At 40.4% G+C, this 15226-nt stretch overlaps 1 protein-coding gene across 11 annotated transcripts in view, besides 3 other annotated features; it reads right to left on the reverse strand.

The window, feature by feature from the left end:
* Positions 1–15226, reverse strand: part of NREP (neuronal regeneration related protein) — a 248131-nt gene that overhangs the window by 18867 nt on the left and 214038 nt on the right. The window contains exons 1-3 of one of the 11 annotated variants that reach the window (NM_001142478.2): positions 9894–10061; positions 9468–9511; positions 8102–8162 (exon numbers count right to left, since the gene is read on the reverse strand). The exons of 2 other annotated variants lie outside the window; for them this stretch is intronic. In NM_001142478.2, the coding sequence (NP_001135950.1) occupies positions 8102–8104 (3 nt within the window). In that variant the 5' untranslated portion in view covers positions 8105–8162; positions 9468–9511; positions 9894–10061. 8 more of the 11 variants (NM_001142476.1, NM_001142477.1, NM_001142480.1 and 5 more) reach the window with 8 other exon arrangements.
* Positions 8726–9283: an enhancer, noted in NCBI's record as "H3K27ac hESC enhancer chr5:111092091-111092648 (GRCh37/hg19 assembly coordinates)". NCBI's record gives its function as "activates a minimal SCP1, AML or CMV promoter by ChIP-STARR-seq in primed H9 embryonic stem cells {active_cell/tissue: H9 hESC(primed)}" and the evidence as "EXISTENCE:reporter gene assay evidence [ECO:0000049][PMID:30033119]".
* Positions 9877–10276: a silencer, noted in NCBI's record as "silent region_16234". NCBI's record gives its function as "represses an Ori minimal core promoter by ATAC-STARR-seq in GM12878 lymphoblastoid cells {active_cell/tissue: GM12878}" and the evidence as "EXISTENCE:reporter gene assay evidence [ECO:0000049][PMID:35858748]".
* Positions 10297–10656: a silencer, noted in NCBI's record as "silent region_16235". NCBI's record gives its function as "represses an Ori minimal core promoter by ATAC-STARR-seq in GM12878 lymphoblastoid cells {active_cell/tissue: GM12878}" and the evidence as "EXISTENCE:reporter gene assay evidence [ECO:0000049][PMID:35858748]".

Below are 15226 nucleotides of genomic sequence, written 5' to 3' on the forward strand. Positions count from 1 at the left end.
CTCTGGTTCCCAAATTTCAGTGAAAAGGGGCAGACAGACCTTCCTTTCATGCCACGTTCTCTTATGTTATTTACTCCTTCTCCTTCTTGAATATAAGTTATATTTATATTTTGCTCCATGAAAATAAGGAGGAACACTGAACCAAGCAGTCTAAAATCAGGGATTTAAAAATATCTCTAGCTAGATTATCATAACACTTTCAAGGCAAAAAGCTTAGATTAGAAACCATTCTAAGGTCATAATGGGCAACAATTTCACTTTAAAAGATTTCATTACCCTGTGAAACCAGGGCAGATTTGGTCTACTGTCATGACTGCCTCAGTCAGACTATTGAGACAAACTGTGCTGCCCGCTGGAAAAGCACCATTAATACCCTCACGCATAGTGGCGCCCCACAGCCAGTGTTGTGGATAAGATGTGTGCCACTACCCTAAAGTGATATTCCTTTTTTATCAGACCATACCAACCTAGCTTTCTGGATTCTCAGGACCTCTTCTGCCCAAAGGAGTGCAAAAGAATGGAACACAGAATTTTAGGAGTCATTTTTGTAGTGTGCTTAGATCTCACTTAACTCTTCCCCCTTACTTCCCAAACATTTGAGCCTTCTAAAATGTTCACTGAAAGCCTCTTTTCAGTAGTAAATTGTTCATCAGTGCCTGTTCATTTCATTTCCCGGAATGCCTGACTTATAACCAAGCTATCACAGCAGTGCAGTGTCCGGCCATGACTCATTGTATGATACCAAAGTGGGCAACCTGGTCCTGCCCAGAAATAACAGATTGTCATGTATCCATGACCACTGACTCATTCATTTATTCCGCAGACAGTTGTTGATCACTGAGGATGTGCCAGATCCTAGTTAGGTATGGGAGCACAGATTAGACTGGTTCATGGTGTGGGATCTATTCCAAGGTCTCATTAGGAAATGTCAGTGAAGGTTAGAGTTTCCTTTCACTTTGTAGAAAGAGAACACCAAACCACTTTGTAGAAAGAGAACACCAATTTCTCTACAATTTCATTACTGAAAGTTCTCTCTCAGTAATGAAACTTTTCTACATCTGAATTCACCATCCCACTGGTAGAGGAAATGGAAAAAAAAGGCATCACAGCCTCAACTGCTACCAAAAAGGGAAAGGTGTTGCTCAGTTACTAAGTGGTCAATATTCTTCTATCAAGTATACAACCTCGGAGGGTAGAAAAACATGCAGAAATAAGCCAGCCGCAAGAAGAAAGTTAAACATGTGATAAGTATACAGAGGAACATAAGAAGATTCCTGCTGAATGTACTATGGTGTTTCATAGAGGAGTTGCCATTCAAATTCAGTCTTGAAGAATGGCTTTATTTTGTCAGGAGGTGTATTCCTTCTAGAATCAAGATAAGCAAAGGCACAGAAAGAGGGAATCCTGGGGCAGTTGAGAATAAGAAGTAGCCTGCTCCCTCTAAGAAAATACAATCCACTATGGCTAGAAATAAAGGATTAATTCATATAGTTCCTGGCTTATCTGTCAAGCCGCAGAAATAAAACTTTGGAAGTTCTAAACATAGCAGGTGAAAAAAAATTACTTGAAGGTATGAGGTGGAGAAGGCATAAAGAATTCAAGGAGCAATGCTTACCTATGTCACTTTTACTGAGAGATTTACAGACAAGTACCACCTCATCTAAAGGGGTTAAAAGAGCTAGTCACATCATTTCATGTTGAAAATCTTGCAGCTGATGCATTCCAAGGTAACATTCTGTGCTATTTATAAGAGATTGCAGGAAAAAAAAAAAATCCCTCTTGGACTTGGCTTTACTCGATTTTCGTCTATCATGTGAGGAGATTCTCTTTGGTTGGTCACCACACTACTGACTACATTAGTAACAGCATGTAGGCCTCAAATTGTAAACAATTTTATTGTGATGACATAAGCGTTGGCTTACATTTTCAATAAGTATGGTTAATCGGGAAGAAATGGAAAGAGAAAAGCAGCTAGGTACATGGGGGTGCAACTGATTAGCACATGCCAGCACCCAGTCAGCCTCACAGGAGGGAAGCATGATCTTTCTATCGGGGAGCTTGCAAGGCAGCAACATACTCTCTGGCCAAGCAGACACTGCTGAACCTGCTGGGATCTGCCAATGAAAGTGCTGCCAGTTTCTCAAGAAAAGGATAAGCATGCTCCCTTTTCCCTTCCCAGTTCCTTCTAGCTAGAGACCTTTCTTCTCTCCACCATTCCACCCCAGCCTAAGGGGAGTGAGAGGGAGCAATAAAGTAAGCTGTACCTTTAACCAGAAAGTGTAAGTGAGTGAGTGTGTGTGTTCTTTCCTGTTAAGCACAATCAAAAGGCAAAGAACCTGAGACAGGTTGGTAACCTGAGTGAGAGCCCTGGGCCATCTCTAAGATGCCTGCTCAGGGGCTTCCTATTGCTTAGCACATCAAGTCCTTGACTTCTAGGTCTAGTTTTTGAGGTCTGTCCTTGACAGCACAGAGGTCCTAAACAAGGAGGAAGATCTCCCCTATGATAGTAAAAAGGTACTATGCTTACTCTTGCAAGCCTAACTCTCTAATGCACTCCTTTTATCTGGAATACTCCTCTCTCTCATCTAAATCTACCCAAATATTCTTAAGTCTTCACTCACTCAATATAAGGACTGGTCCTAAGTCCTAGAAATAAAAAGCTTAATAAAAGCATAGTACTTACTCTCAAGGAGCAAATAGTCCACTTCTAGTTTCAAATTTTGTGCCAACTCCAATCGTTAATGGCGCCCTGGAACACTGTATTGAGGATTTTGAAATCATACTCAAGCTGAATAATAACGAGTGTCAAGGTTGATTAGCAATGTCTCCCACAGGTATAAAAGTTAGTGATGGAGATAGCCATATTCTTGCTATTTCTGGCTCCAGCTTAATTTCTACCTTCTTAATATAAGTTTTCCACTATCCCCAATCCCCAGTCCTCACTAACATCACTCGTACCATTTAGCACTAGATTATATTGTTTTACATTGTTAAGTTTGCTGCACATCACAGAATCACAGAAATAGCTTCTACTGAACTAAGTGAAGGCTAGAAAGTTCCAATACTGGGAGTAAAGCTCCTCTTGGGTCCAGGCTGCAGGAAAAGCTGCTGTGAGCTTTAAATACCATAGCTGGATCCAACCCAGAGAGATGGCATCGCACCACACTGCCGGAGTGTGGCTCTGGAAGCTGGGAAAGGTTAGCCATTGCAAGTCACGTTCTTTTGGCAAGTGCCACACTTTATGGTTTCACCGCACTTTGTTTTATCCCTTTAATAATGGAAAATAATTTTCTGTGTAAACTAAAATTGCATTCATTTCGGCTTCCTACCTCTTTTAAAAAAGAGGTTAAGGATACAAATTACTTCTAGTTCACAAAAACTAAACACGATTAAATCATTAAGAATGAATTAAAAAAATTCAACTTAATAGATGTTAATATGCATAGATGAAATATTTGTTGAGCTTCTACCATGTACTTAATACTTTACCAAGCACTATATGAAGTTTATAAAACCTTCTGGGGCCTATAATTTAGTTGAGCAAGGAAAGAAATGCATATGATCCAACTAACAAATAATCGCACCCTGGTTAATACCATGGTATTACTACTAATAACTGAAGTGATATTTAGAATTTAGCTGAGAGCCGTGTTAATGCTTAAGTCCCAAACCATTAGGGCTGTTAATACTTTTGCACTAACAGATCAATTTCAGGATCACTGCTATTTTTTAAACCATTGAAATGAACTATTCTTGAAGCTCTTCCTAGGTACAAAATATATTCAGAAAAATCTATTTCAAATAAATTTACACCCAATAAATATTCTTAGCAATCATAATTTCTACAGATGTGGACTAAGAATTTATGATTAACCTGCTATCCAGTACAAAGTAGAGGAGCCTTTAAAATTGATATATTGTAATATATCTTTACCAACCAAGATGACATAATCCAAGTACATTCAGTACATTTTCCTCTGGTATATTCAAATTGGATTTGCTGGTACGATTTCCTTATCCCTAGTTTTTTCTTGTATAACACGGGAATTATACAGATAATTCAGGCAAATCCTTCACTCCTACATCACTCCAGCAACATTTGGAATTACCAAGATGAATCAGACAAAATCAATTTTTTGAGCATAATTATTCAGATAATTATTTCAACCCTCCATTTCACTTTGGCTATGAGGATATGGCCTTAAAAGACTTTCCAACCAGGAACAGCACTAATTAAAAAAAATGTAGGACCACGAAGTTACGCCAAGGATCCCCAGTCAGCCCAGTGCATCTGAATGCCACATCAGGTCTTTAACTGACCAAGTAAATTAATACTTCAAAGTATAAAATTCATTAATGGCCAAGTATAAATTTGGGTTTCACTCATTTGGTTTAGCAGAGTATTCATATTTTAGAAGTATATTTTCCTATTTTAGAAGTAGTCATCTCAGGATTTAAAACAAAGTAAATTTCTTCAATGTATTTATGATGATGATCTGATTTACATCTTTTAAAGAACTGTATCAGGTTAAAATGGAATGATACTCGGAACAGCTGTTTATTCTAAGATTGCTGCTCAAATACCTTTTCCTACCTGAATTATCTCTATAGCTCAAGAGGAAGCAGGACTGGGCTAACCCAAATAGACTATCCCAACTGTCCTAATTCCTCAAACGATTCCCAATTCTCTCCCTCACTGTTCACTGGAAACTGTGGTGAAAAAGACAGTACCATATAAAATTATTCTCTTAGGTACTCTTCAGCATCTCCACAATCAAGAGTCACTGAGCAACTGGTATATTTACATTCTAAGCCCAATGGTACAAGCTATGAATAGGACCGCATCCCTCCCCAATCTTTGTCTTTTTCTTTAAACAAGGAAACCTTATGTTAATGGAGAGATTATTGAAAGAGTCTTCTTGTAAGCCCATGAATGCCACTTCACAAACTATACAGAAAGCAGAGCTCTATGAATGGTACAATGGAGTCAACTCATCTGTTTTAAAAGCTCAGCATCAGTCTTAAAGAGAACTTATATTGTTCCAATTCCTAGGTCTCTGTTAAAACATAATGAACTCATGCTTACGTCACTGTGAGTCCATGGCACACACACACACTGAGAGGCAAGTTCACTGTGTAGAAGGCAATCATGTTGAAAACCAGGACTTAACCTTGACATTGGATTAAATAACTTATTTTTTCAAACTATTCAATAGGATCATCTATTCATTCTGAACTGTTTTCTTCTCATTAACTTATCCAAAGCAAGTGCCTTTAAAATAGAATACCTAAATAGATCTCATGTAAAATACAATCATAGCAATTAAAATTTAGCAGAAAGCCAAATGTAAATTAAAGAAATGCTGAAGACTTAATATCCTACTAATTGCAAAAAAAAACACAAAACTGTGGGGGTGGGAGAGGCATATTTACTAGAAAACAAAAAGTTGGAGAATGACTTATTGAAAAAAATGTTCTGTTCAACTAAGATACAGCAAACTATACTCAAAACTGACACTTTTAACAGTACTCTTGAGTTGCACAACCCTAGGTGCCACCATGCACAACTTTATGTAAATAGCACTCCGTGCAGTGGCGTTCAAGGAGGCCCATACACAGAACACATGTAATTGGTGCCTCCTAGAGCTGCACAAGTTGATTTTATATATATATATATATATATATGTATATATATATGATATGTAGATATATATAGATTATATATATATTTTATAGATATATAAATGATACAGAAGGGACTCGAGAATCCTTAAGTGTCTCCACATTATTGTTGTAAAACATTATCATTTTAGATACGTAAAAAGTCTAGATATTGAGTCACTGTTACGAATTCTGGAATCTACTAAATAATTTCTTACACTAAAATGAGCTGATTATAAATTTGTATTTGAAATAAGCCCTTTACTAAATAGGTAAAATATACTGAAATTAGATCCTCTTTAGCGTTTTAAATTATGTAACTGGAAATACAAGTTTAACAGGAGAGCCATGCTTATGTATTTTCTAGAGGTGTCCAGGAGACAAATCTACTGCTTCACTAGAAGCAGTTTCTACTGTATGTGGGCTAAGTCTTCACTCTAAGTAAGCCAGTTACAGAGGTCCACAAAGTAATTCCAATTTTAATCAAGGGAAGAAAACTAACTTGATTTTGCCAAAAGGCAGAAAGAGGAGATACAAAGACACCTCTAATATCACTTCTTAAAAAAAAAAAAAGTGAAACCTTTTTTTACATTAATATGTGCAAAGACTTTTAAGATCTCAAGACTTTCTGGAAAAAGAGAATTGCTAGAAAGTTACTTGGAATCACCCACAGACAATAACTGTCAGTGGTTTCATTTCAGGCAATGGGCTTGTGCCAAAAGGGACTGACATCTTGATGAAAGGATCACCAAAAAGTTGTGAGAATTTTTTCATGAGTAAAAATCCTTCCAGGAGCAACAAATTGTGATTCCCCATTCTGCCACCATACATAAACGACAACTGCAAAAAAATTAACACGTAATAATAATTTGCATTTGCTTTTCTGCATTCAAATGGTTCCAACTTCCACTCTCAGCTTTGGCAGGCATGCTTACCTTCTACAAAGCTCATTCTACTTACTACTACAGAAACATGGTATCTTACTCTTTGAGCTTGATCTATAGAGTTAGTTTTGGTAGGGTCCATAGTCATATTTATGTTTAAACTGGTCACCTGACATATTGCAACATACATGAAACCTCTGTGATCTATTTATGGTCACAGAAAGTAGGTAACGTTCTGAGATAAAGAGCTTGGAGGCAAGGTGATGTGGCCAGTCACAGTAAAAAATAAGTAAACACAAATACTTTACAGCAGTTGATTTTATTACCATCCTATTATTCTATGACAACAGCTAATTAAGAATTTAATATGAAGTTGGGAACCATTTGCACAAAATCCATTGATTAGCTTAATTTTATGTTCACTTCTTTTGTCTTTCTACCTCAAGTTCCTTAATTTGATCATTTTCAAACAAGGTCCATGTGGTGCTTTGACACCCACTTGTTGAAATGACAAGTGACGCATACATAAAAAATAAAACACTTGTTAATAAAAATCAAACTGAACTCATTTAACTGCCTGATTCATTTTTCTCCTTGGAAGCTTATACTTGGGTTGTTCTCAAAGAAAACATCAAAGATATCAGATTAAATTTTGATTCATTAAATTCCACCCTCGTTTCAAAGAAAAAAACTAAAACTAAATTTGGAAATCACACATTCTAAGTGACAAAGAGGTGTTTTAAAGAGTATAAACATCTGCAGTAGGACACGCTGTACTTCACTAAAAAGTTTTATGATATTTCTATTATTTTTTTTAGTTCATCTTATTTCCAAAGAGGAAATTTTTCATAGATGATTAATATACTTATTCAGCTGCTTTTAATGTGTATTCCTTCTGTTTCCTTAATCAGTAATCAAACATTAAACTGCATTCTCTGTGGATCATAAGCTTTGTCAGAAATAGTTATACTTTTATTTAGAGGTTAACATGCTTGACTTCTAAAATTGAGTACATGTCTCTCACAAATGAAATTATAAATCGAGAAAAATAACAGTAATTATATTTAAATAGATGGGGCACATTAATATAAAAATTCATGCTTTTCATCTATATTGCTTTAAAGGATAGCATATACAGTAGCTGTTTGATCAGCTGGACAGACTCCTCAGTTTTGGGTAACTTCGGCCTAGCTCTAAGACCCAAGGCTTTGTTTGAGCCCTACTGCTGTCACCACCTCCATGCGTGTCACAACACATCACTCTTCTTAAAGAACCGAATAGTTTCTGTTGTTCAAATTAAATAAATCCTCACTTCTGAAAGAGGAATTTTAGTTTTCTATTCAAAATAATTGCAAGTCAAAGAACTAATTTGCCACATCCAATTCACATAAATTGCTGTACTGCAACGCTCCCAGGAACTGGAGATAGAACCTTTTAAAGGTCAGATGGGGTGTAGAACAATGAAGGGTTGAGGCGGATGAAGATGGGTGGTTGATATTTATATGTAACAGACTGGTAAGAAGTACTGAGAATCTCCTCTGATGACCAAGTCTTACCATTTTGAGAATCTTAGTCTTGGGCTTCTATTCTCCCTCTCTTCAGTCCAGGGAGACCAACCTGCAAAATATGTTTAAATACAGTAGACACATCGCCTCACCACAGGTCAGCAAACGAAAAATGCCTCTTTAGAGGTTACAGACGAATAACCATTTTCTGTGGTTAAGATAAGTTACATGCAAATTATTGTTAACTACTGGGATTTCTGAAAGAGCTTTCCAAGTGGCCTATAGGCTTAACTAAGGGACAAAGGAATCCCTGGTACTTGGCTTTGCAGAGTCCTGGGCTATTCTTAGTGTTTGGTTCATCTTTAAATTGCATGAGTTCAAAAGGTTTAGCAACTTAAAAGTAGAACCAAGTGATAAAAATAGATTGTTTTCTGGCTGCTCTTTGTTCCCAGACATACTACTGGCAGTATATTTGCAATCAAGACGACAGAATAGGAATCAGCCTTCCACCGTGTAGTGTAATGCCTCAGAGTGGATATTTTTGGAAATGGCACTGCATTACATAACCTTCCGTGTTTAAAAAAAAAAAAAAAACCCTACACGGCGGGGGGGGTGGGGGGAGTCAGGAATATACACCATTCTGTCCTTCTCCCTAAACCAAATAAACATTAATGTACATACTGCTGCAGTGATTTACCCTCAACCTTTATATTATCAGAAGACCGCTCTTTTGTTAACACAGTTATGACAAAAATTAAGATGAATGGAGAAACTAAAAGTTCTCAAAAAGGGTATCATTCGCTCTTAGAGTTTTCCTATAATGTTATTATAGATACACATAAATGCACATCAGATTATTATAATCACCAAGAAAAAAACAGTCATTTATTTTTAAGGCCCTCCCCGCCAAAGTTCAACTGCTTTATAAGAAAATGCAGAAAAAAGTGCTGCAAGATCGAATGCCTAAGAAGACCCTCGGAAGCAGCAGCATTGAAAGAGTAATCAAGTGTAAGGGCGGAGGGACACAAATTCATTTTATAAAAAGGGAGGAAAAGCTTGCATGCACCAAAGTGCATTTAATGCAAAGAAACACAACAGTTTCTAACAAGGCTTTAGGAGCAAGAAGAACAAAATTAACCACACCAACAAGCACAAAACCCCACCCCTTCCCAAAAGAATTCATTTCTCCCTCCGAACTTGTGCATTTTAGAAAAAACCCAAGTTAAATTCCAGCCTGAATGCAGCACAACCAAAATGCCAGAATTTCTCCAAGGTACACGCTTCAGCTCTTTAAAATTTAGAGGGAAGAAGCATGAACTCTGCAGGGTTGAAGGGTCCAGCTAAGAGCAACGGCAAGGAATCGACACAAAAGAGAAACCAGCGCTCCCAGCCGGGGATAGGAATGGCATATACTTACAGACAAAAGCCCCGCTCCCTGTTCACTCTCTCTCCTCTCTACACCTGAAACACAAATGTGGTTGAAAAAGGGCAACATGCTAGAAAGACAGATTGGGGGGGGAGGGGGGATTGGGGGAGGGAGGGGGAGGGGAAAGGGGTGGAGGAAGAGGAGGGAGGAGGGGGAAGGGAAACAAAACCCAAACCGGCTTCACTTCCAAGAAGTGCAGCCTTGGAAAAAGGAGGAGGAGATCATCTCCCTGCCTCGCGCTCTCTCTCCAAGAGTGTGTGTGTCTCTCTCTTTCTCTAAGAGTCTCTCTCTCTCCCTTTCCCTCTCTCTCCCGCTAGGGTGCTAGTGAACAATGAGCTAATTCTGATGGAGCTGGCGCGGAGCCAGCGCCCCAGCCTTGCTGCCACTGTGCAGCCGCCTAGGAGCCAGACTGCTTACTCGGCAGGAATCGGCGGCTCTGGGCCCCGTCGGCGAGCGGCCAACAGGCGCGCGCGCCCCGACACCCCGCACCCGCGCCCCGGGCGCCCCGCTCGCCGCGCCGTCCCCACTGCACCGCGCGGCGCCCCGGGGAGACAAAGCGGACCCGCAGCTCTGCGCCCCGGCCCCGCCCCGGGAGCACGGCGCGCGCAAATCCCCGGCCTTCCTCCCCGCCCCCGGCCAGCCTCTCCGCCTCGACGTGCGGTTGCTTTTCAGACAAATAAGGAGGTGGAGGAGGCGGTTTGGGGGCGCGCCAAGCGTGAAGGCGGCCAGGGTGCTGCACAGCCCGGCGGCCCGCCAGGGCCGTGGGGAGAGGCGGCGCGGCCCGTACTGTAATAATAAACCTGCAGCAGAGGGCATCTGAGGAAAAGAGGACGGCGACGGGCGGCAGCCGCCTTCCTTTTATGTGCCTGTCCTGAGCGAAGCAGAAAATGGTGCCTGCGGCGGCGCGGAGCCGCGCTCAGACACACAAAGAGTCCGCGAAGGATGCATTTGCACACGGCCTCGGGTCGGACCCTGCCCCTCAGCTGGGTACGCGCGCCCCACTCCCTTCCGCGGGGAAGCCCGGGGCGGGGAGCGCCCCTGAAGGCCGGGCCCAGAGGTCCTGTGGCTGCGCGTGCACACACACACGTGCACACAGTCACACGCGCACAACCAGCCAGAGCTGCGGCCTGGCGTGATCGGCCCAAGACATACTCCCCTGGTGCTTCCTTCTCCTTCCCTATACGCTCCCCCACTGCCTGCCCGTCTGAAATTGTACTTTTTAAAATCGAGGATTGCTTTAAAAAATAAAGTGCTTTGCCATTTCTGATTTTTGTAAACTCGTCGTTCTTATTTAAAATCTATCTTTTCATAGTAATGTAATAGCTCAAAATTTTGCAACAAACTCAAATAAACTGGTTCTGTTGCCAATAAAGCAGGATATCATTTTATGGTAACTCTCAGATGTCACAGGAGAAGATTATTTCCTAATTAAATTGCCTTTCCAAGAAAAAAAGATATAAAGGATCATAGTGTCTTCTAAATTTGCCATCCACTTTTTCCCCTAATCACTGAAAGCAATGTTTTCCATTGTAACAAAGAAAATAAGGCAAATTTACAAAACTCAATTTTTAAACGTGTTTACAGAATGTCTGATGTTTTAGATTTAACATACTGGGTACAGCAATAGCAAACCTTAAAAAGCAATACTTTACACTCACAATTCTAAAAGAATGCACTGAGTTCTCTGTATGCTTGTTGCTGGGACTATAGGTCACCTTTAAAACTACAAAGCCATTGCCACAACAAATGCCTGTTAGACTGCACTGGGTATGATGTTTAAGGAGCCCACTGAAAGCTTCTCTGAATTAATCTAAAACATCACAGTAATTTTCCTGCAAAAATAAGATGATTTGGCAGCCATAGCTAGGAACAAAGGGAAGAAATATAAAACTCAACAAATTCCCTTGACCCTTTCAGGCCAGTTTACCAGCCAGGGAAGTACTGGAAGGAAGGTGTAAGGCATAGGCTGGGTGGTGGGAGAGGGGAGACGCCTGGGGGCTGATCTGCAAGTCTGGAACCCCAACACGCTGCTCAAGGGCACCTCAACATTGAGATCTTTGGCATTCACCTCAGGGTCAGGCTGGGAAAGGACCCCAAGGGCGCACCATCAAATCAGACTACCAAAAATCTATCCCAGTGATATTTGTTCAAAAGCTGCTTCTACAAGGAAACATACATATAAACACATACATACACAGGGACTTTAACGTTTATGTAAAACTTCCCTAAGATGTTCTTTCACAGAGAAGTGTTAATTTTTCTTTCTTTCTTTCTTTCTTTTTTTTTTTTTAAGAAATGGAGACTTACCATGTTACCATGTTGCCCGGTCTCAAACTCCTGGATTCAGGCAATCCTCACTACGGCCTCCCAAAGTGCTGGGATTACAGGCACAAGCCACCTCTCTTGGCCAATTTTTCTTCATTGTAATGATAGACATTCAGGTGACAGATTTTTAAGTATTAAGAACACTGGGTCAGATTCATAGCTTATTTATCTGTTGTGTTCCAGAAAACGGTTATCATCCAACTATCCAAGAAACATTCTTGAGTCTCCTCTAGGTGAAGGGGGCTGTGCTAATCACTTAAGGATATATGAGAAACTCATGCCATGTCACCTCACTCAAACTGTAGCTATAGCTGTCTCACAGTCCTCCTAGCTGCCATGTTCTGCCCTCTTCCATCTATCCTGTAGGTGTTACAGTAGACCCACTCTTCTAAAATTTCTTTTTAATCATGGTATCCCCTGCTCCATTACGGGATAAAGGCCATATTTTGCCACAGTGTGACTATAGTCTGACTTTCTAACCTTATCATCTCTCTCTCAATCATAGAATATCAGTCCTTCACTTCACTCTGATTGATCATTTAGGGCACATAATTATCCCTAAGCCATTACCAGTCAGGAAGCAAAGTCACGCAAAGATTGACTTCAGCTAAGATGTCTCAACCCTTCAGTTATATTGACATTTGGGACAAGATAATTTTTTGACGGGGTGAGGATGGAGGGTGAGGCTGTCCTGTGCATAGTATAATGTTTAACAACATCTCTGGCCTCTACCCATCAGATGCCTGTAGGAAACGCCAGTTGTCACAACCAGATATGTATCCAGACACTACCAAATGTTCCAAGGGGTCAGGGAGACTCATCCTTGATTGAGAACCACTAGCTCTAACAATCAGATCCATCTCCTGAGGTGGAAAGAGGTAGCCTCCCTTGAGTTATGTGCACTGCATTGAAGAGGGACAGAGACCTGACCCAAATCAGGATTTTCGTAGGGAGGAGGAAAGGGAAGTAGGCGATGTCCTTATCTTCATGGAATTTGTCGTCTGGGGTGAAGGGGTAAAGAGACAGCCAAAGCCAAAGTGAAGGTGCAGTGTGATAAGGATGATTGTAGAGTTCTTGCACAGGTTTCACTGTGGATGCCAGGGCTCCTTTCTAAATCAGACCAGCAGTTCAAAGAAAGTTTGCTAAGGGAGGTGAGGCCTAAACTGAATTTGTGAAGAATGAGAAAGAGTCAGCAAGTTGAAGGAGGAAAGGGGCCTTCTGAGCAGAGGCAGGGGCAGATCATGAGCTAAGAAATTTGACTGATGACTGATGACATCCAGATGGTATAAGAAAATAAAAACCCTGGGTCAGAACCTGATTCTTGGGTTCTGTCCCTGGCAAGTATGCCAAAGAATAGTCCCTCACAGGATTTGCTCAGTAGAAAAGGATGTACTTTAGACACAGGATTTTTCTTCTCCCTTAGATATGTCATTCTCAAGTATTTCCTGATTATAGCTAAATGTATCTCAAATCTATATATTCCTGCAACTTTATTAATTTTTGGTCAATGTCATTGCTTGGGGTAACCAGTTCCATGAGTCTGAGTTCCAGGTGAAAGGTTAGTAGAAAAGTGGTTAGAGCCAGCTCTATGTGGCCTTGGATAAGTCATTTAACCTTTTAGTCTCAGTTTATTCATCTTTCAGTTGGAGTTCATACCATAGTGCCAAATTGTTGTATTATGTGAGACTGTGTACAGTGTTTAGCATATAAGTTAACATTACATATACAGTAGCAATAGGTATTATAGACTGCTTTATAGAACAAAACTTATATGATGTTTCCTGATGGATCCCACCTCTCCTTCTGGCCTCATGTCTTGTCCTCTCTGGTCAGATTGAATGAGGGCACTTTTGCAGTGAGTTACACTGTTGCACAACCCTTGAGCCTTTCCACATGCTATTCCTCCTGCTGGAAGGCCCCTTTCCCACTTCTTCAATTTGCTAATTCCTGCTCCTTCTTCTCACATTCAGTTTAGGCATCACCACCTTTTTAAGAAATGTTCTTTGAACTGCTGATCTCATTTAGAAAGGAGTCTTTGTGGTCACAGTGCACCAGGTACAGAACTCTACACTTGTCCTTACCACTCTACACCTGAACTTGGACTTTATTTTTCTGTCTTCACCACTAGACTATAAATTCCATGAAGGAACAGATCGCAGGATACATTGTTGATCGCATATGTAACATCCATTATCCCTTTCTTCCTTCTCAACGAAATCTTGATTTTTGTCCTGGTCTCCATCCCTCCCATACAGCCTGCTAGATCCAGGGAAGGTGACGCCAAGGAATAGATTCTAATTATCTTAGCCAATCAGTGTATTGAATTGGATCTGATAATGGGCTAATAAGCAGGTGACCTAAGTTCAACCAATCAGACCGAAGGGAAAGAATTGTATTTCATGCTTAAGAAATGTGAATGCTATTCTTAAAGTAATGCAAAACTGTAGAAGAAATGTAATCTGAAAGTGACAAGATTTTTTTTTTCCAGGGAAGGTTATTCTGAGAGTAATTTGGCGGATGGATTTGAGCACGGAGAAGGGGCAGAAATGAGGAAATGAGTTCAATTTCAGAGAATATTAGAGTAATTCACATGAGTAAATATGAATGGCCCAAATTAAGATGGAGGGCATGGGAAAGGAAAAGAGGGAAGGAGTCAAGTTGCATTATGGAGTTAGAATTGCAGGACTCATTATGGGTTCAGAAAGCACAGGAGATTAGCTGGAGAAAAGAGTCTAAGATGATTCTAGATTCTGGCTTTGTGACTGCTTGGATGATGATGGGATTTCCTAAAACAGAAAATACAGGAAGAAAAGTGTCTATGGGAGGATCAGTGGGTGACACTGAGTTCAATTTTATACCTGTTGAATGTATAACACACATATTCAATGATGTTCCAGTAGCTATCTTTGAGTAATTTTCTTATCACCAGCTCCCTTTTCCTCATGCTTCCTTCCTGTTATGGGCTGAATTGTGTCCCCTCCCCCCACACACCACCCCCAAAATGTACATGCTAAAATCTGAACTCTCAGTACCTCAGAATGTGACTGTATTTGGAGATAGGGTCTTTAAAGAGATAATTAAGGTAAAATGAGGTCATATGGTCGGGCTCTAACCTGAAGTGACCAGTGTCTTTCTAAGAAGAGATTAGGACACAGACACATACATAGGGAAGACCACACGAAGATGTGGGAAGAAACACATCTAACACCAGGGAAACAAACCCCAGTGACACCTTAGATCTCAGAATTCTAGTCTCCAGAACTGTAAAGAAATGAATGCCTGTTGTTTAAGCCCTCCGGTCTGTGGTACTTTGTTATCGCAACCGTGGGAAACTAATAGACCGCCCTTGCAGCAAACATGTGGAAGAGTAAAGGATTTGTAGTATTTGCATTTGTTATGAGGTTTCGGATATTCTACAATGCAAA

The sequence above is a fragment of the Homo sapiens genome, chromosome 5, assembly GCF_000001405.40.
Source record: "Homo sapiens chromosome 5, GRCh38.p14 Primary Assembly".
Taxonomy (NCBI): Eukaryota; Metazoa; Chordata; class Mammalia; order Primates; family Hominidae; genus Homo; species Homo sapiens.